General features: G+C 39.5%; 1 protein-coding gene and 3 pseudogenes across 15 annotated transcripts in view; 3 read left to right on the top strand and 1 right to left on the bottom strand.

Annotated features, from left to right (window-relative positions):
- ZNF484 (zinc finger protein 484) overlaps positions 1 to 10,303 on the top strand; it is a 33,857-nt gene extending 23,554 nt beyond the window's left edge. For 7 of the 14 annotated variants that reach the window (NM_001007101.4, NM_031486.4, NM_001261460.3 and 4 more), the window contains one exon: positions 5,934 to 10,303. In NM_001007101.4, the coding sequence (NP_001007102.1) occupies positions 5,934 to 8,257 (2,324 nt within the window). In that variant the 3' untranslated portion in view covers positions 8,258 to 10,303. Of the gene's footprint in view, positions 1 to 526; positions 572 to 5,909 lie in introns of all 14 variants that reach the window. The other 7 variants (XM_006717299.4, XM_011519075.3, XM_017015178.2 and 4 more) reach the window with 2 other exon arrangements.
- On the top strand, positions 12,797 to 13,530 carry LOC100419515 (zinc finger protein 41 pseudogene; annotated as a pseudogene).
- ANKRD19P (ankyrin repeat domain 19, pseudogene) overlaps positions 16,028 to 21,562 on the bottom strand; it is a 28,847-nt pseudogene continuing 23,312 nt past the window's right edge. Inside the window, exons 9-10 of the transcript NR_026868.1 lie at positions 16,745 to 17,708; positions 16,028 to 16,228 (exon numbers count right to left, since the gene is read on the bottom strand). The product of NR_026868.1 is annotated as an ankyrin repeat domain 19, pseudogene (transcript). The remainder of the gene's footprint in view (positions 16,229 to 16,744; positions 17,709 to 21,562) is intronic.
- Positions 16,744 to 17,719, top strand: EEF1DP2 (eukaryotic translation elongation factor 1 delta pseudogene 2; annotated as a pseudogene).

The following is a 21,562-nucleotide window of genomic DNA, read 5'->3' as shown; positions in this document are numbered from 1 at the left end:
TGGACTCCCAAAGTGCTGAGATTATAGGCGGGAGCCACCACGCCCAGCCGGAAATGAGAATTTCTTAAGGAAGAGGAGTGGGATTGCTTTATCATTGGGCATACTAATATTGAATATGATGAGGTATAAGCACATTATTTTCCAGATTGGCTGTGTCACTCTACGGTCCCTGGAACTTTGTACAAGGGTATTAGTTCCCCACATCCCTACCCATACCTAGTATTATCCAAATTTTTAATATTTTGGCTAATCTGATGGGTTTTAATTTCTAATTATTATTTAATTTGTATTTCCCTAATAAAATACTTTGAACATCTCATTCTGTATCCTTCATTTTTGATGTTCAACTGCTGATGTTTTCTAAGCCTCATCTCTCTCTCTTTTTTTCCTGGACAAACTGAGAAAAAAGCCCATGAGTTCCCTCCATTGTTGCTGGGAAATTCCAACTACATAAGGGAATAGTTAGCCCAGCCCCACCCGCCCCTGCCATAAACTCCCAAGACAGTCCTTTCCTTGCTCACTCTAGCCCCATCTGGACCTGCTTGGAGCTGTCCCCAGAAAGCCTCATTATGTGAGTAACAAATCTTTTTACACCCTCTTATTGTGTGTGTCTCATCGTCACTCTTGACATCTGAACCAAGTTTGGGGTGGGGTCCATTTCTCCTTGCAGGTCATTTACAGCTGGGGCAATAAGCAGGATGTCAAGGCAATGACCACCCCCACAGGGGTCTTTCTCCTCTTCCCAACTGGTTATACTGCCTGCTGGCAAGTATGCACTTTGCCTCTGTCCTATACATAACTAACCTACATTAGAAGTTATCATGGACATTTAGAGGCAGGTGTAAGGGCTTTGGGCCCTCCTTAAAGTTGCCCAGGTCCATGTGTCTCAGCCCAGCATAATCTGTGTCTTAGATTATGTGTCTCAGCTGCAGCATAAGCTCTGAGTGATAATTGGCTCATGGGAACAACTTTTACTCTGTGACTGTTATTTGTGTGTCTCAGTCAGGCATTGGCCCTATTGTATACAGCACTCAGGGGAAAGACCAATACTGTTTGCATTTAAGGGTCTGGCTGTTTGTGTGAAGGAAGACAAGATACAATGTAGCATGTAAAAGCAGGTGGCTTGCCTTTCAAAATGTTGTCATCTTCTCTTGGAGTTTTTTTACTTTTCCCTCTAATCCATCTTCTCAGATAATTCATTCTGCTTTTCTACTTATTTTTCTCATTTACAAAAGCCTCTTTCTTACCTCCCAGTCATATCACCTACAACCATGTCTGTGTTTTCTCATGCCTAGATTATTCTAATCCTATTTGTATGTGATAATCCCATTCTTTCTTTTTCACTATTTCATCTCAGATGCTGCTGATAGATTTCACTACTTAAAACATTGTGTGCTGTGTTTATCCTGTCATAGCTACATGGAAGAAAACTAAAGTTACTACTTAATATCTAACATGTGACAGATTCTCCTCTCAGTAGGTTTGTAAGCTAGAGAAAGAATATGGCCTCATATTTGCAATTCACATTTGTCCCTGTTTTCTATAACCATTTCTATCCTATTTTAAGATTTTCTTTAATTCTCCCTTTTCATCGAGCCCTTTGATTATTATGTTATCTATCTGCGTATTCAAATAATACACATATTTTGGCTGGGCACAGTGGCTCACGCCTGTAATCCCACCACTTTGGGAGGCTGAGGTGGGTGGATTACCTGAGGTCAGGAGTTTGAGACTAGCCTGGCCAACATGGCGAAACCCCATCTCTACTAAAAGTATGAAAATTAGCCAGGCGAGGTGGCAGGGGCCTGTAATCCCAGCTACTCAGGAGGCTGAGGCAGGAGAATCACTTGATCCCAGGAGGTGGAGGTTGCAGTGAGCTGAGACCGCGCCACTGTACTCCAGCCTGGGTGACAAGAACGACACTCCGTCTCAAAAAAAAAAAAAAAAAAAAAAAAGGCTGGGCGTGGTGGCTCACGCCTGTAATCCCAGCACTTTAGGCTGAGGCAGGTGGATCACAAGGTCAATTAGCCAGGCATAGTGGCAGGCGCCTGTAGTCCCAGCTACTTGGGAGGCTGAGGCAGGAGAATGGTGTGAACCCAGGAGGCGGAGCTTGCAGTGAGCCGAGATCGTGCCACTGCACTCCAGCCTGGGCAACAAAGTGAGACTCTATCTCAGAAAACAAAAACAAAAACAAAAACAAACAAAAAACCAAATAATACACATATTTTGTGCTCAGCTTTCACTTACTCCTTGAATTTGACCTATTGCAGCATACAACCTCCAGAAATTCAGAGAAACCTACATTAAATTACATGATAACTGAGGCTTTTACTCTTGTACATTAAAATGCAAAGTTTCTGTAGAAAATAGTGAAATTAAATTCCTGAATTTGTGTTATAAGCAGAGGAGGTCGTTTTGCTCTATTTCAGAAAGATTTTAAAATTTTTCTTTTAGGAGCAATTCAAAGGGCTAGAAAAACTAATTGGAAAGAGGATAACTGCATGAAATCTTGAAAATTTCAGTCTTTGTGCATTACACTTTTGTTAACGTGCACATCTATGCCAATTCAAATATAAATATGAGTGGTTCAGAGTACCTTTTTGTTGTTTGTTTTTAAGTTAAAAGAGAGCCTCTCTAGAGTTGTGGTGAAATTTGAAATTAGCTTTTAAAGCAGAGAACCCCAAATGATTAATGAAGAACAATGAATTTTTGATAGAAACAAAAGATCAGAAAAAGGAAGCTTAAATGGAGAAAATGAAAAGACTGTATGTTTGGGTTCATTGATAAAATAGACTGCAGTGACTAATGGAAAGATGTGTGTTAGTCCCTTTTCGATGGCCATAACACCGGGCAACTCTGTTTCCATGGCCGTTCAGGGACAAAGTTTCTAGAAAGTCATTGTACCACCATCCCCTAGGGCAAGGGCTGACAAATTTTTTGTAAAGGCACAAAAGTAAATAGGCTTTGTGGACCATATGGCTACTGTCACAACTGCTTATTTCTGCAGTTGTAGCCCCAAAGCAGCTATAGACAATACATCAATGTATGGGTGTGGCTGTGTTCCAATAAAAACTTTATGGACACTGAAATTTGAATTTCATATAATTTTCATATGTCGTGAAGTAGTATTCTTCTTTTAATTTTTTGACCATTTAAAAATGTAAAATACATTGTTAGCTTTTGGATAGAGGCCTGGATTTGGCCCAAGGGCTTCAGTTTTCTGACCCCTGCCCTAGGGCATTGCCAGCTTCATAGAACTGGGTGCTGCCAAGTTGGAATATACTGGTGGGAAAAGAAGAGGTTTGTAGGAGACAAACCCACTTTCTTAAGACATTGGCCTTATCACTTCCACTGATGAGTGAAAAAGAGTTACTCAGTGCCACCTAGTGACAAATGAAGCTGAACAAACCTAGTGTTGTGAAGCAGCCATGTGCTTGGCTACAAGCTTAATATTGTGAAGGAAGGGCACAGGTTTGATGAACAACTTTCAGTCTTCTCTTCTGATGTCTAGTTCTTTCCTGTTATGTCTTCTACCAGATGCATTTATCACATCAGTACCCCAAACCAGGGATGAAGAATTGAACCATAGGCCAGACACGGTGGCTCACACCTGTAATCCCAGCACTTTGGGAGGCTGAGGCAGGCAGATCACTTGAGGTCAGGAGTTTGAGACCAGCCTGGCCAACATGGTGAAACCCCATCTCTACTAAAAATACAAAAATTTGTATTTTTACAAATACATGTATGGCGGCACATGTCTGTAGTCCCACCTGCTCATGTGGCTAAGGCAGGAGAATTGCTTGAACCCGGGAGGCGGAGGTTGCAGTGAGCCGAGATCGCGCCATTGCACTCCAGCCACTCCAGCCTGGGTGATAGAGTGAGGCTCCATCTCAAAAGAAAATAGACCAATTGTTACATAGAGTTGATTCAAGGAAAACACAGATAAATGAGAGAGGCTATATAAATATAACAAATGTATATAAATTTTTCTGTTTGGCCAAGTTAGGATGACTAAGATATCGTAATTTTACTGTAAACATAAATACATTGGTATTTAGGGCACAGTGGATCATAGGGAGAAGAGAAAACAGGAAGATTGTGAGGATTTACAGATTAAGGAAAAGAATCTAGACTCAGAAATACTTCTTTTCACAGAGTTTATCACTTTGTTCTTCTGACACCTCACTCACCATGTAGTTCTACTACATTTGCACTGAATTGCAATCTCTTCTTCCCCAATTACTAAACATTTGATTTGGGCAAATTTAACTAAACTCTTCTGTGGCTCAGTTTCCTCATCTGTAAACTAGAAACAATAATAATACCAACAGCAAAGGGTTACAATAAAGTGCTTTTTGTTTTTGTTTTTAAGAGACAGGGTCTTGGCTGGGCTTGCTGGCTTACGCCTGTAATCCCAACATTTTGGGAGGCCGAGGCGGACAGATACTTGAAGTCAGGAGTTTGAGACCAGCCTGGCCAACATGGTGAATCCCCGTCTCTACTAAAAATACAAAAATTAGCCAGTTGTGGTGGCATATGCCTGTAGTTCCAGCCACTCATGAGGCTGAGGCACAAGAATCCCTTGAACTCAGGAGGTGGAGGTTGCAGTGAGCTCTGATCATGCCATTACACTCTAGCCTGAGCAACAGAGTGAGACCCTGTCTTAAAAAAGAAAAAAAAAAAAGAGAGAGAGAGAGACAGAGTCTCACTCTGTCACCCAGGCTGGAGTGTAATGGTGCGATCAGAGCTCACTGCAGCTTCAAACACCTGGGCTCAAGTGATCCTCCTGCTTCAGCCTCCTAAGTAGCTGGGACTATAGGCATGTGCCACTAGGCCCAGCTAATTGTTTTTTCATTTTTCTGTAGAGATGGGGGTCTCACTATGTTTCCCAGGCTGGTCTCAAACTCCTGGGCTCAAGCAATCCTCTCATCTCAGCCTCCCACAGTGCTGGGATTACAGGCATGAACCACCACACCGGGCCGTGATAAAGTTTAAGTGAATTAATATAGAACTTAGAACAGCACATCTAAATGATATTGTTTATCATGTTATAAATGTTAGTATTAATATTATTACTCTACATCATTGTATTACATATTATATATAAATGAGTTATTATACCTATATATTTATGTATATTTAAAATACTTATGTACATTTGTTATATTTATATAGTCTCTCTCATATCTCTGTGTCTGCCTTGAATCAACTCTTTTTTTTTTGGAGATAGAGTTTCGCTCTTGTTGCCCAGGCTGGAGTGCAATGGCAAGATCTCGGCTCACCGCAACCTCTGCCTCCTGGGTTCAAGTGATTCTCCTGCCTCAGCCTCCTGAGTAGCTAGGATTACAGGCATGCACCACCATGTCCGGCTAATTTTGTATTTTTAGTAGAGATGAGGTTTCTCCATGTTGGCCAGGCTGGTCTTCAACTCCTGACCTCAGGTGATCCGCCTGCCTCAGCCTCCCAAAGTGCTGGGCTTACAGGCGTGAGCCACCACACCCGGCCTGAATCAAAGGTCTATTGTATTTTTATTTATTTATTTATTTATTTATTTATTTATTTATTTATTTATTTTGGAGACAGAGTCTTGCTCTGTCACCCAGACTAGAGTGCAATGGCGCAATTTCAGCTCACTGCAACCTCTGCCTTCAAGCCATCAAGCCATTCTCTTGCCTCAGCCACTTGAGTAGCTGGAATTACAGGCATGTACCACCACGCCTGGCTAATTTTTAGTAGAGACAATATTTTGAGTGTTTTTTAGCAGAGACAGAGTTTTGCTATGCTGGCCAGGCTGGTCTCAAACTCCTGGCCTCAAGTGATCTGCCCACCTCAGCCTCCCAAAGTGCTAGGATTACAGGCATGAGCCACCGCACCTGGCCTTATTTTCTGTTAATTGTTCTTTTTGTCAGTCTTATCTTTTCTTTCTTTTTTAGATGGGGACATTGGTTTTGGACCTTTACAACAGAGGATGTCTGAAGAAGTTTCTTTCCAGTCTGAGATTAATATTAATCTCTTCACAAGAGATGACCCATATTCCATTTTAGAAGAATTGTGGAAAGACGATGAACACACAAGAAAATGTGGAGAAAACCAGAACAAACCTTTAAGTCGTGTTGTCTTCATTAACAAGAAAACACTAGCTAATGACAGCATCTTTGAATATAAGGACATTGGGGAAATAGTTCATGTAAACACACACCTGGTTTCCTCAAGAAAAAGACCCCATAACTGTAACTCGTGTGGAAAGAATTTGGAGCCTATCATAACCTTATATAATAGAAACAATGCAACAGAAAATTCTGATAAGACTATTGGAGATGGTGATATTTTCACTCATTTGAATTCTCATACAGAAGTGACTGCTTGTGAATGTAACCAATGTGGGAAACCTCTGCATCATAAGCAAGCTCTCATTCAACAACAGAAAATTCATACTAGAGAGAGCCTCTATTTGTTTTCTGACTACGTAAATGTTTTCTCCCCGAAGTCACATGCCTTTGCACATGAGAGTATTTGTGCTGAAGAAAAGCAGCATGAATGCCATGAATGTGAGGCAGTCTTCACTCAGAAGTCCCAGCTTGATGGCAGTCAGAGGGTTTATGCAGGAATATGCACTGAATATGAGAAGGATTTTTCCCTCAAGTCAAACCGTCAGAAAACTCCTTATGAGGGGAATTACTATAAATGCAGTGACTATGGAAGAGCCTTTATCCAGAAGTCAGATCTGTTCAGATGCCAGAGAATTCATTCTGGAGAAAAACCTTATGAGTACAGTGAATGTGAGAAAAACCTCCCTCAGAATTCAAACCTTAATATACATAAAAAAATTCATACTGGAGGGAAACACTTTGAATGTACTGAATGTGGAAAAGCTTTCACAAGGAAATCAACACTAAGTATGCATCAGAAAATCCATACAGGAGAAAAACCTTATGTATGTACTGAATGTGGGAAGGCCTTTATCCGGAAGTCACATTTTATCACACATGAAAGAATTCATACTGGAGAAAAACCCTATGAATGCAGTGACTGTGGGAAATCCTTTATTAAAAAATCACAACTCCATGTGCATCAGCGAATTCACACAGGAGAGAATCCCTTTATATGTTCAGAATGTGGGAAGGTCTTCACTCACAAGACAAATCTCATTATACACCAGAAAATTCATACAGGAGAAAGACCCTATATATGTACTGTGTGTGGTAAGGCCTTTACTGACAGGTCAAATCTCATTAAGCACCAAAAAATTCATACTGGAGAGAAACCTTATAAATGCAGCGACTGTGGAAAATCATTCACCTGGAAGTCTCGGCTCAGGATACATCAGAAGTGTCATACTGGAGAGAGACATTATGAATGCAGTGAATGTGGGAAAGCATTCATTCAGAAGTCAACATTAAGTATGCACCAGAGAATTCATAGAGGGGAAAAACCATATGTTTGCACTGAATGTGGTAAGGCCTTCTTCCACAAATCCCATTTTATTACACATGAGAGAATTCATACTGGAGAGAAACCCTATGAATGCAGTATTTGTGGGAAATCCTTCACTAAGAAATCACAGCTCCACGTACATCAGCAGATTCACACAGGAGAGAAACCCTATAGGTGTGCTGAATGTGGAAAGGCTTTTACTGACAGATCAAATCTCTTTACACACCAGAAAATTCACACTGGAGAGAAACCTTATAAATGTAGTGACTGTGGGAAAGCCTTCACTAGGAAGTCAGGTCTCCATATACATCAGCAATCCCATACTGGAGAAAGGCATTATGAGTGCAGTGAATGTGGGAAAGCCTTTGCAAGAAAATCAACACTAATTATGCATCAGAGAATTCATACAGGAGAGAAACCCTATATTTGTAATGAATGTGGGAAATCCTTCATCCAGAAGTCACACTTAAATAGACACAGGAGAATTCATACTGGAGAGAAACCCTATGAATGCAGTGACTGTGGCAAGTCTTTCATTAAGAAATCACAACTCCATGAGCATCATCGAATTCACACAGGAGAGAAACCATATATATGTGCTGAGTGTGGAAAGGCCTTCACCATCAGATCAAATCTTATTAAACACCAGAAAATTCATACTAAACAGAAACCCTATAAGTGCAGTGACTTGGGGAAAGCCTTAAACTGGAAGCCACAACTCAGTATGCCTCAGAAATCTGACAATGGGGAAGTAGAGTGCTCCATGCCACAATTATGGTGTGGGGACTCAGAAGGTGACCAAGGCCAACTTTCTTCTATCTAGTTAGAATTATGAACATCTGGATCATATAGCTGATGTGTAGTTACACATATGGGGAGACACTTTTGAGAGTGTTTAAGCAATGTATAGTGGCCATCTTTGGTTACTTGATATTGGTGTTGTCAAGCTCCTGCAAATAATAGTAAATGTGCAAGGAGATGATTGGCAGTCTTTCTTGTTTCACTTTTTGGGCAAACAGTTTTATAAATTCATGGCTGTTGAGTTTTTCATGTTCTGGGTACCACAACTATTCAATATTGACCCGCAAAAATTCATAATGAGTAGTATGATGAGATAATTTTACATTGTCTAAGCAGCCTAAGGACACTGAGATCAAGGCAAAGAGAGGGCAATTTAGGTCTATAATGAAAGTGAATCAGCAGTTTTTGTGAAAACACTAAAGACAGAAAGAAAGGACTCTACTTTTTTTAAAATTTTCTTTGGGAAGTCACCATTATTTATTGTTATATCTGTTGGCGTATGCTGGGGCAGCAGTTAGCCAAGAGGTCTGAAATTGCTCTTTGCCTATTTCTCAAAAGTCTATATTATTACCTTAGAACTGGCCCTACGATCATGGAACTTAGATACAGGGACCCAGGTCTAGATAGCAGCACTTTAGATCCTCAGCTTTCACCACAGAAACCTGCACTTTTTTGATGTTGTTGTTACCAACTCCTGTTTGAAAAATAGGACAAATTAAGAAAATGGATATCAAATCCTAAAATTTTTTCCCACTAATTTTGTTAGTACATTCTCTACATGTTCGTTACTTGCTAGATTACCATGAGACACAAGCATCTTGAATTTTAGTTTGTGTCCTTAGAAGATAAAATGTAGTTGAACATTTGGAAGACTTCTCCTTTTATCTCCTCACAATCTCTACAAACTAATCTTAATTAATTTTGTTTTTCAAATTCTCTGTATTTGAATAGACTTTTTTGTCTTTTCTTCTATCAAATACTGAAAGAACTGTGTTGTAATTTTACAAATAATTGTGAATTTGTCTCCTTTAGAGCTACTAATTTTTGCTTTATATATTTTGTCTTTGATTTTACATACAATTTAGAATTGTTGTAATCTTCCTGGTTAATTGACACATTATCATTATTAGATGTTTCTTTTTATCTCTAGTAATTTTTTGCCTTAAATGTACTATGTCAGATACTAATATACATATGGATTAAAAGCTAATGTAAATTAGTACTAACATTTCTGGACAAGGGGAGAAGTTATAACATTATAATTTCATTTATTTGTCTCTTATATGGTATTAATTTTGTATATTTGGATTCTGTACATGGTGAACATAGCCAATCATTATTTGAGTCAATATCCATTTAAATTAACCCACATATTTATCATTTTAATTACTTTTTTATTCCTTCCTGTCCTTTAAGTTTTCCTCTAGAATTATTTTGCTTCTTACTGAGGAACACCCTTTAGTATTTCTTTTACTGTGAGTTTGGTGGTGACAAATTGTTCTTCATTTGTTGGCAGTGTTTTATTTTGCCTTCATTTTTGAAGGATACTTTTACTGAATATAGAATTCTAAGTTGAAAGTTGTTTTCTATTAGTATTTTGATGATATTTTATTTTGGTTTGTCTTTTATTGTTTTATTGAGAAGCTTTATATAATTACCTTTGCAGGCAATCTGCTTTTCTGTCTCCTTTGAAATTTATCTATTTGTCTTTGTTTTTTAACTGTTGCACATTGATATGCCTAGGTGTAATTTTTCCATGTATTTATCCTCCTTGGAGTTTATAATGTTTTTTAAATCTGTGGTTTAGTGGTTTTGGGGTGTGTGTGTGCACGTGTGCGTGTACGTGTGTGCACATGTGCATTTGGGGAAATTCCTAGCTATTATCTATTCAAATTATGCATCTGCCTCATTCTCCTTCTCTGTTTCTTTTAGGGATAACCTTATTACCCAGTTCTGTTGGCCTGTTTTCTAATGGTTATTTTTCTTGAATTTTGCTGATGTCCTATCTCCTCATATGGTGATTTTTATATCACTTGCCAGACAATATATATTAAAATTTTAGAGGTAATAAGATGGTCTGGATAATATCTTCTTCCAGAGAGGATTTGCCATAGCTTCTAACATAGCTTCTTAGGCTATGATCACTAGTAATCCCTGATTGCCTTTATCCAGTCATGTATTAAGATAATTTGAAACTGGGCTTGAGTCTCTAGAAGACTCATCTTATTTTATTATATGTTCAGAATGTGAACATCTAAACCTTATTTCTAGGATACTTTTAGGACTTAGGAGTTCGGGAGGTACATCAGGCCCCTCCTCTTTGGAAAGACTTGAATTCTAGTATTTCTCCTTCGGTCACTTGAATTTGTCAAAAATTCTCTCCAGCCTCTCTTGCCCAGTATTTGCTGTCAGAATTAGCAAATACCTCTTAGTAATAAACAGTTTCAGACATTATGTCCCAAATATGAGACTTTATGTCTTGTCTCCAATTTTATTCCTGCAGTTTCTCACTGCCGTGGTAGCTTTCTTATGCCTTCAAAAAATTAAATATGTTTAATATTTTCATTCACCTTTTTTAGTTCCCAAAGGAAGTACTAGTCTGTACCACCTACTCTGCCACTGGCAGATGTTTTTAATTCGTTGAGATAGCTACTTGTATTTAAGAAGTATCAAGACCAAAAATATATTTTCTTAATTTCCAAAATTACTGACTTGTAAATGAAAATGCTTAGATTTGCAGCATTACTTTATTCCAATCTTTTGTTGCTAAAAGTCTTAAGGCATTCACCCATTTGTTAAAACCTTTACAGCCAGGCGCGGTGGCTCACTCCTGTAATCCCAGCACTTTGGGAGGCCGAGGCGGGTGGATCATGAGGTCAGGAGATCGAGACCATCCCGGCTAACACGGTGAAAACCTGTCTCTACTAAAAATACAAAAAATCAGCCGGGCGTGATGGTGGGCACCTGTAGTCCCAGCTACTCGGGAGGCTGAGGCAGGAGAATGGCGTTAATCCAGGAGGCGGAGCTTGCAGTGAGCCAAAATCGCAGCACTGCACTCCAGCCTGGGCGACAGAGCGAGACTCCATCTCAAAAAAAAAAAAAAAAAAAAAAAAACCTTTACAAACTTTGATACGTAAGAGAAAATTACCTCTGGTGGTTTCAGATTTTATTGTGGTAGCTGCCAAATTTAGCAAATGGAAGAGATTCACTAAAAGCTTCTCAGATGTCTTTTTTAATACTATGGCTTTTCCTTTGTACAATTAATAGAAAATGGGGTTAATGAAGACTGGTATAGAGTCCCAGGGTTTGAAAAATTAACTTAGTAGGATAACTGAGATAGTGATTCTCAACCTTTATTCTCAGGCACATTTTAAAAAATAGAATGTTATACTCCCAAGAAAAAGAAGAAACTATAAAAGAGCTACTTGACCTTTTGTCAACACAGTATTAATCTCTAGAAGAAAGAAAGACTTTCTTCTGTGAGATTTCTTGCGTCTCAAGGGGCACTTGTGAACTGATTGAGGAATAAATGGTGGAAAACTATAAGTGAATTGGGAGAGCTAAATGTTAAGTAGAACTCAAAGGTCAGTATAGATTGGAAGCATGTGGAATATAGACTTTACTAGGGAAAACACTGTAGGTTAGCCGTATCTTTTTTATTTATTTATTTTTTTTTTTTGAGACAGAGTCTTGCTCTGTCACCCAGGCTGGAGTGCAATGGCGGGCAATCTTGGCTCACTGCAACCTCCACCTCCTGGGTTCAAGTGATTCTCATGCCTCAGCCTCCCAAGTAGCTGGGATTACAGGCATGCACCACAACGCCCAGCGAATTTTTGTATTTTTAGGAGAGACAGGGTCTCGCCATGTTGGCCAGGCTGGTCTCGAACTCCTGGCCTCAAGTGATCCACCCACCTCATCCTCCCAAAGTTCTGGGATTACAGGCATGGCCCAGCCAGCCATATCTTTTTATGCCAGCACTCTATTATAGTTCATTTACAGCAAACTATTTTAAGACAGTTTTACAGTTTAAATATTTTAATAAAAATGCATTTTATTCTATTTTATTAATTTTAATTTTTTTTTTTTAGTGACAGGGTCTCACTCTGTCACCCCGGGTGGAGTGGTATGATCATAGTTCACTGTAGCCTTGAACTCCTTGGCTCAAGCAACCTTCCTGCCTTATCCTTCCAAGTAGCTTGGACCACAGGCATGTGCCACTACACCTGGCTTTTTTTTTTCTTGAGACAGAGTTTCCGCTCTTGTTGCCCAGGCTGGAGTGCAATGGTGCAACCTTGGCTCACTGCAACCTCTGCCTCCCGGGTTCAGGCGATTCTCCTGCCTCAGCCTCCCAAGTAGTGAGGACTACAGGCATACACCACTACGCCCTGCTAATTTTTTTTGTATTTTTAGTAGAGACAGGGTTTCACCATGTTGGTCAGGCTGGTCTCGAACTCCTGACTTCAGGTGATCCACCCGCCTCAGCCTCCCAAAGTGCTAGGATTACAGGCGTGAGCCACTGTGCCCAGCCCTTTTTGTTTTGTTTTGTTTTTTTGTTAGAGATGAGGCCTCACTTTGTTCCCCAGGCTGGTCTCAAACTCCTGGTTTCAAGCAGTCCTCCCATCTTGGCCTCCCAAAGTGCTGGGATTACAGATGTGAGCCACAGCACCTAGCCAAAAATGCATTTTAAATTAATTTTTAAAAAGTGAATCATACTGTGTATTCAGAAAATATACGAAAACATACACTCAAACATTTACGTATGCATCAGATAATTCATAAGGGAGAGTAATTTTCTGTTTGTACTGAATGTGGGTAGGGTTTTCTTTACAAGTCATACCTCATTACATATCAGAAAATTCATGCTGGAGAGAAACTTTATGAATATGATGACTAGGAAATCTTCCACTGAAAAGTTAATGACCTGAACATAGTAAATTCACACATGAGAAAAAATAATTCAAATCCCATTATACACTAAAAACACAATTTGGAGAACAAAGCCTATAAGAACAGTGACTGGAAAACACTTCACTTGGAATATATCAGAAAGTTTCTACCAGAAGGAGACAGGGTTAAGAGCAAATGTGGCAGTAGCTTCACACAGAAATCAGGTTTTAGTATTCTTCAGTATTTACACGAGTGAAATTGTATTTCTTGAAAGTGAGAAAGTCTTTTCACAGAAGTCAGAACCAGTTTTAAATTATTCATACTACAGAGAAGCCCTGTGATTACTGTACATTATATATTGTATATGGAAAAATCTTCATCTGTGAGTCACAGCTTACTGTATACCAGACAAGTAATTGTTAAGAATAGGTTTTGTAAGAATATATCGTCTTATTAAATGCCATAAAATTCAAATAGAGAAGAAGCTCTATTTGATACATTGGAAAAGGTCTTCCTATAGAAGCAGATTTCATAATAAACATAGTTCATTTTGTTTACTGATTTAACTTCAAGCCCATGTCTCAAACCAGTGGAGAAAAACAGACCATCCAACACTTTCCTTTCTATTAAAATAAATATTTACGTACACACACACATGCATACATATATAACTTGGCATAAATGTGACTTTATTTATTTACTTTAGAGACAGGATTTCAATCTGTCGCCCAGGCACCCAGATGGGAGTCCAGTGGCACAATCCTGGCTCACTGCAGCCTCGACCCCTGGGCTCAAGTGATCCTCCTGTCCTAGCCTATAGAGTAGCTGGGACTACAGGCACACGCCACCACACCTGCTAATTTTTTTAGTTTTTTAGAGACAGGGTCTTGCTATTTTTCCCAGGTCAGTCTCAAACTCCTGGCCTCAAGCAGTCCTCCTGCCTCAGCCTCCCAAATTGCTGAGATTATAGGCATGAGCCACCACACCTGGCCTAACTGTAACTTTTATAATGTATTTTATGTCTTCTTGATTTTTGAACTTCCATTCATAGCAATTCCAACCACTCCAACAGTCTGTCAACAGATAATCAATTGGACAAGGACAATCATGCCCTTAAGTACTAGAGATTATTTTTTTCTGTAGCATATGCTTGTAGGAGTGGGACTGATCAAATGGTATGTGTTATTTTATTTTAACAGATGTTGCCAGATTTCTTTGTCCTAAGACTGTAGCTTTTTATGTTTCCAATATTAGTGTATAAATATACCTCTCCCGCACTACAAGTAGCTGTTACTCTTTTTTTTTTTTTTTTTTCTGAGACTGAGTCTTGCTCTATCGCCCAGACTGGAGTGCAGAGGCACAATTTTGGCTCACTGCATCCTCTCCCTCCTGGGTTCAAGCGATTCTCGTGCCTCAGCTTCCCAAGTGGCTGGGATTACAGGCGCCTGCCACCATGCCCAGCTAATTTTTGTATTTTTAGTAGAGACAGGGATTCATTACGTTGGCCAGGATGGTCTCAAACTCCTGACCTCAAATGATTCACCTGCCTCGGCCTCCCAAAGTGCTGGGATTACAGGCGTGAGCCACCGTGCCCAGCTGCTGTTACTCTAACCTTGAGAAATTTTACAAGTTCCAAGTGATAACTAATTATAATTTGTATATAAATATGACTCCAAATGTGTCTTGGCCATTTGAATTTGCTATTCTGCAAATTGCCTTTATAAAGCATTTATTTATACATTTCTCTTTTTGGATTGTTTATCTTATTAATTTAAAACAGCTGTTTATGTTAAAGGGAGTAACTCCTTTTTTAAAAAACATCCATTCCTTGTCTCGACTTTGCATGTGATATTATCCCATTCACATAATTTTATTTTCTACATGTTTAAATGTGTATTCTTTTACAGTTTCTGAATTTTTAATCTTAAAACTTAAACTTCACATATAATATTTTAAAGTGGTCTTCTGTATAGTTTGTGTATCTTTTGGGAAAATGTTGCTTTGCTGAACCAGCGTGCAATCCCCAAACTCCTCTCTCACTGCTTTATCTTTTTTTTTTTTTTTTGAGACGGAGTCTCACTCTGTCGCCAGGCTGGAGTGCAGTGGCGCAATCTCGGCACACTGCAACCTCTGCCTCCCGGGTTCAAGTGATTCTCCTGCCTCAGCCTCCTGAGTAGCTGGGACTACAGGCACCCTCCACCACGCCCGGCTAATTTTTTGTATTTTTAGTAGAGACGGGGTTTCACCATGTTGGCCAGGATGGTCTTGATCTCTTGACCTTGTGATCCACCCGTCTTGGCCTCCCAAAGTGCTGGGATTACAGGCATGAGCCACCGTGCCCGGCTTACTTTATCTTTTTTTAAATTTAACTTTTATTTTAAGTTCAGTAGTACCTGTGCAGGTTTGTTACACAGGTAAACCCATATCATGGGGGCTTGTTGTACATATTATTTCATCACCCAGAACCCATTAGTTATTTTTCCTGATCCTCTCCTTCTTCCCACTCTTCACCCTCCAGTAGGCCCCTGTGTGTGTTGTTTCTCTGTATGTGTCCATGTGTTCTCATCACTTAGCTTCCATTTATAAGTGAGAACATGTGGTGTTTGGTTATAAGTGAGAATATGTGATGTTTGGTTTTCTGTTCCTGCGTTAGTTTGCTAAGGATAATGGCCTTCAGCTCCATCCATATCCCTGCAAAGGACATGATCTCATTCTTTTTAATGGCTGCATAGTATTCCATGATGTATATGTACCACATTTTCTTTATGCAGTCTACTATTGATGAGCATTTAGGTTGATTCCATGTCTTTGCTATTGTGAATAGTGCTGTAACATCATCATCTTCTGAAACTGGTAGTGGCCAAATGACCTGCCTCAGCCCAAGAGAAGCAAAACACTTAAATGTATCCTAGGAAAACCTTTATTTCCTAAGAAAAAAGACAGACTTAGCTGTCACCATCAATTCCATCCCTTTTCCTGCCTTGTACATTATGCCTCCAGCAGTGGTGATCTTCTTTCAAGCATTGGGGAAAGGCCAAAAGATTCACCAACACTGGTCTTGATGTTATTGACTCAAAAGTAGCAGCAACTTAACTACAGACTTTAGCTGTGTGATAAAAATAAACATGTTTGGCATAAAGCATTCCATTTTATCTCTTTCTTATTGTACCCGAAACCATACCTAAACTTATTCAGGCAATGAAATTTATAAAATAATCCGTCCTTTTCCTACTAAAATGAATATGAAAATATTTTAAAACCTTAGTAAACTAAATACCTCACATAAACCCGAGTAAGGTAAAGAGATAAGAGAGAGCAAAATTATGTAAGATTTGTAATGAGTAAAAGGAGACATGGATATTGAATCATTTCATATCTACCTACATGTAAATGTAGGTAGATATGAAATGTAGTAGGAATGATATGAAATGTAGTAGGTAGATATGAAATATAGTAGGAAGAGAATACTACCTACAGTAAATGGGTGATCTCCTAGTAAGATACAATTGATCAAAATTAATGAAAAACTAAAAAAAAAAATAACCATAACTTATAAATATCATTTATAGAGCTATCATTTAAAATTTACCAAGACTATAGGAAAAGATTTTTAAGGTAGTACCCTTTCCTCAGGTGTCCCGCGTCCGCCGATTCCTCCTCCCTGGTCGTCGCGTCCTTGGCAGGCGTCAGAAAAATGGCTACAAACTTCCTAGTACATGAGAAGATCTGGTTCGACAAGTTCAAATATGACGACGCAGAAAGGAGATTCTACGAGCAGATGAATGGGCCTGTGGCCGGTGCCTCCCGCCAAGAGAACGACGCCAGCGTGATCCTCCGTGACATCGCGAGAGCCAGAGAGAACATCCAGAAATCCCTGGCCGGAAACTCAGGCCCCGGGGCCTCCAGCGGCCCCAGCGGAGACCACAGCGAGCTCGTCGTCCGGATCACCAGTCTGAAAGTGGAGAACCAGAGCCTGCGCAGTGTGGTACAGGAGCTGCAGCAGGTCATCTCCAAGCTGGAGGCCCGGCTGAACGTGCTGGAGAAGAACTCGCCTGGCCACCGGGCCACGGCCCCACAGACCCAGCACATGTCTCCCATGCGCCAAGTGGAGCCCCTGGCCAAGAAGCCATTCACACCAGCAGAGGATGACGACGATGATGACACTGACCTGTTTGGCAGCGACAATGAGGAGGAGGACAAGAAGGCGGCACAGCTGCAGGAGGAGCGGCTGCAGCAGTACGCGGAGAAGAAGGCCAAGAAGCCTGAACTGGTGGCCAAGTCCTCCATCCTGCTGGATTTCAAGCCTTGGGACGATGAGACTGACATGGCCCAGCTGGAGGCCTGTGTGTGCTCCATCCAGCTGGAAGAGCTGGTCTAGGGGGCCTCCAAGCTGGTGCCCATGGGCTACGGTATCCGGAAGCTACAGATTCAGTGTGTGGTGGAGGACGACAAGGTGGGGACAGACTTGCTGGAGGAGATCACCAAGTTTGAGGAGCACGTGCAGAGTGTCGATATCGCAGCTTTCAACAAGATCTGAATCCTGAGTGTGTGTGTGTGCGCCCGTGAATCCCTGCCAGGATTAAAGACTGAGACCGGCAAAAAAAAAGAAAAAAAAGAAAAAAAAAGATTTTTAAGTTAGTACACATAAATAATGAACTATAAAAACAGAAATCATAACTTTGAATTTTCAAAATTAAAAACTCTTGTCCTTTGAAAGCACTTAAGAAGGTGAGAAGGAAAGACTCAGAAGGGGAAGAAATAGTTGCAATAAATTTCTGACAAAAGATTTGTTTCCTGAAAATGTAAAGAAATTTATAACCCAATTGTAAAAGGACAACTCAATAAAAATGACAATATACTTCAATAGAGATAATTCATAAAATAAGATATGAAATGGTCAATGGGGACAAGAAAGGATTTCAACATAAGCCACCAGGGAAATACAAATCAAAACCATAATGAGACACTTTTACACACTCATTAAAATTAATGAAATTAAAATGATCAACAGTACCAAGTGTTGGAAGATGTTGAGCAACTGGAACTCATGCGTGGCAGGTAGGGATGTAAAATGGCACAAAGACTTTGTAAAATACTTTGGCAAATTCTTAAAAAGTTAAACACATAGCTACCATACAACCCAGCCATTCCACTCCAGTATTTAACCCAGGTGAAATGAAAACTTATGTCCAAACAAAGACTTGTACATGAATGTTGACAAGACTTTTATTCACAATAGCCTCAAACTGGAAGCAACCTACATGTTTATCATCAAAGTGAATAGATATAATGTGGTGTATCCATAACTAGAAAACTACTCAGCAATAAAAAGGAACAGACTAATGATACATGTGACAACATGGATGAATTTCAGTCATTTTGAGTAAAAGATGCCAGACATGAAAGAGTATTATGTACCATATGGTTGTATTCATATAAAATTCTAGAAATGCAAACTAATAGTGAAGTAACAAAATTCAGATTAGCAGTTGCCTGAAGCTAGGCCAGAGACAGGGATGGCCAGCAAAGGGGCACAAGGAATCTTTTAGAGTTGATAAAAATGTTCTGTATTTTTATTGTGTTGGTGGTTTCATGGGTGCACACACTGTCAAAATGAACACTGAATAGATACAATTATTGTATGTAAATAATATCTTGCTAAAGTTGATTTTTTAAAATACAGAAGATAGATCCATATCTGAATATAGTTCATGTTTAAAGATCAGATCATTTTATTAATTGAAATCATTTCAAGTTATAGAGAAGTATATACCAATATTTTATTTCTTGTAATTGCTTCATTGCAACTTTAAAATACATCATCACTCTTAGACCATCATAGTAAGTACAGGAAAAAAAAAAAACCAAGAAATTATTGACTCAGGTCATTTATACCCACAGATGCAAAAATTCTAAATAACATTGTGGTGAATAGAATATTGAAGTATATTTGAAAATTAGTAATGATTTTAATTCTAAAATTCAAAAGTGATAGACTATCAAGAAATTGAGGTTGGCCGGGCGTGGTGGCTCACGCCTGTAATCCCAGCACTTTGGGAGGCCGAGGTGGGCGGATCACGAGGCCAGGGGATTGAGACCATCCTGGCTAACATGGTGAAACCCCATCTCTACTAAAAATACAAAAAATTAGCCGAGTGTGGTGGCGGGCACCTGTAGTCCCAGCTACTCAGGAGGCTGAGGCAGGAGAATGGCGTGAACCTGGGAGGTGGAGCTTGCAGTGAGCCAAGATCATGTCATTGCACTCCAGCCTGGGCAACAGAGCGAGACTCCATCTCAAAAAAAAAAAAAAAAAGAAAAAGAAATTGAAATAATTTACTACTATAAATTAAAAGAGAAGGTAATATATTTATAGCAGTAATCACTGAAAGGTATTTTATTAATTCAGCATTTTTAATAAAATAGGCCTGGTAGAAGGTTACCTAAATATAATTATTTAACTAAATGCAACAGCAATTTTTTTTTGAATTTTTTTAAATTGATGAATGACATTTGTACATATTTATGGGGTACATGTGATACTTTGTTAAATACATAGACTGTGTAATGATAAAGTCAGGGTATTTAGGGAATCCCTCACCTTGAGTATTTATCATTTCTATGTATTGGGAACATATTAATACATGTTCTCTTCTAGCAATTTTGAAATATGCAATAAATTGTTGTTAAATATAGTCACTCTACTCTGCTATTGAACGTTAGAACTTATTCCTTTTAACTATATGTTTGCACTCATTAAACAACCTCCCTTCGTACCTCCCCCAACCCACATGCCCTTCCCAGCCTCTAGTATCTACAATTCACTCTCTACCTCATGAGATCAACTTTTTTTAGCTCCTACATATGAGTGAGTATATGTGATATTTGTCTTTCTGTGTCTGGCTCATTTTTCTTAACATAATGACCTCTAGTTCCATCCATGTTGCTGCAAATGGCATGATTTCATTCTTTCTTATGGCCAAATAGTATTTCATTGTGAATATATACATTTTCTTTATCCATTTATCCATTAATGGACACTTAGGTTGATTCCATAACTTTGCTACTGTGAGTAGTGCTGCAATAAACATGAGGATGCAGGTATACTTTTGATATGCTGATTTCTTTTCCTTTGAATAAAACCCCATTAGTGAAACTGCAGGATGTGGGAGTCTGTCCTCCAGACCCTGACCCAACGACGGATGAATAAAGTACACTGACACACAGATGTTCTGCTTTGCCAGTCCAGCCTAGCGTCCAGGCCACTTAGTCACAGCCACGGCCTTGATCAGTCAGCAAGACTTGCATTTATTCAGTAAAGATTAATTGACAAAGGTTGTGAGTAAACACAACTAGAGGGTAATTGACATTGCAGACTTCCCGGACTTCCTGAGTAGAAAGCAATTAAGCACCTGTGGTAGATCAAAGGTTAGTCTTAGGACCACATGAGTAAACAAACTAGTCAGGTAAACTACTCTACCTTCCTTTGTACCCACTTTAAGCTATTTACTCAAGGTATGGATTAGGTTGCCTTCAGACATAACCTTATCCTGAGACTTTTGCAAAACCCTTCAGGCCTTCCAAGAAGGTTTGTGGCTTATAATTTTCCCCACCATCCTGACTAAACCCCTACAGCAGGACCGAATGGTAATTCTATTTCAGTTTGCTTTAGAAATCATACCGTTTTCCACAGTGGCTGTACTATTCTTTTTCTCCACATCCTTGCCACATCTGCTATTTTTTGTCTTTTTAATAATAGCCATTCTGATTGGGGTAAGATGATACCTTATTGTGGTTTTGATTTGTATTTCCCAGATGATTAATGGTGTTGAGCTTTTTTTTTTTGAGACAGAGTCTCACTCTGTCACCCAGGCTGGAGTGCAGTGGCACGATCTCAGCTCACTGCAACCTCTACCTCCTGGGTTCAAGCGATTCTCCTGCCTCAGCCTCCTGAGTAGCTGGAATTACAGGCATGCACCACCACACCAGGCTAATTTTTGTATTTTTAGTAGAGATGGGGTTTCACCACGTTTGCCAGGCTGGTCTCAAACTCCTGACCTCATGTGATTCGCCCGCCTTGACCTCCCAAAGTGCTTGGATTACAGGCATGAGCCACCATGCCTGGAGCATTTTTAAATATCCCTTTCCTTTGCCCACTTTTTAATGAGGTTATTTGGGGGCAGGGGTTGTTTGTTTACTGTTGAGCTGTTTCAGTTCATTGTATATTCTGGATATTAGTCTCTTATGAGATAAATAGTTTGCAAATATTTTCTCCCATTCAACTGGTTGTCTCTTTACTCTGTTGATTGTTTTCTTTGCTGTGGAGAAGGTTTTAGTTTAATATAATCACATTTGTCTATTTTTGTTTTCGTTGCCTGTACTTTGAAGTCTTTGCCATTAAGTATTTGCCTAGGCCAATGTCCTGAAGTTTTTCTCCTACGTT

The sequence above is a fragment of the Homo sapiens genome, chromosome 9 (assembly GCF_000001405.40).
Source record: "Homo sapiens chromosome 9, GRCh38.p14 Primary Assembly".
Taxonomy (NCBI): domain Eukaryota; kingdom Metazoa; phylum Chordata; class Mammalia; order Primates; family Hominidae; genus Homo; species Homo sapiens.
This window is presented reverse-complemented; position numbering and strand designations above follow the sequence as displayed.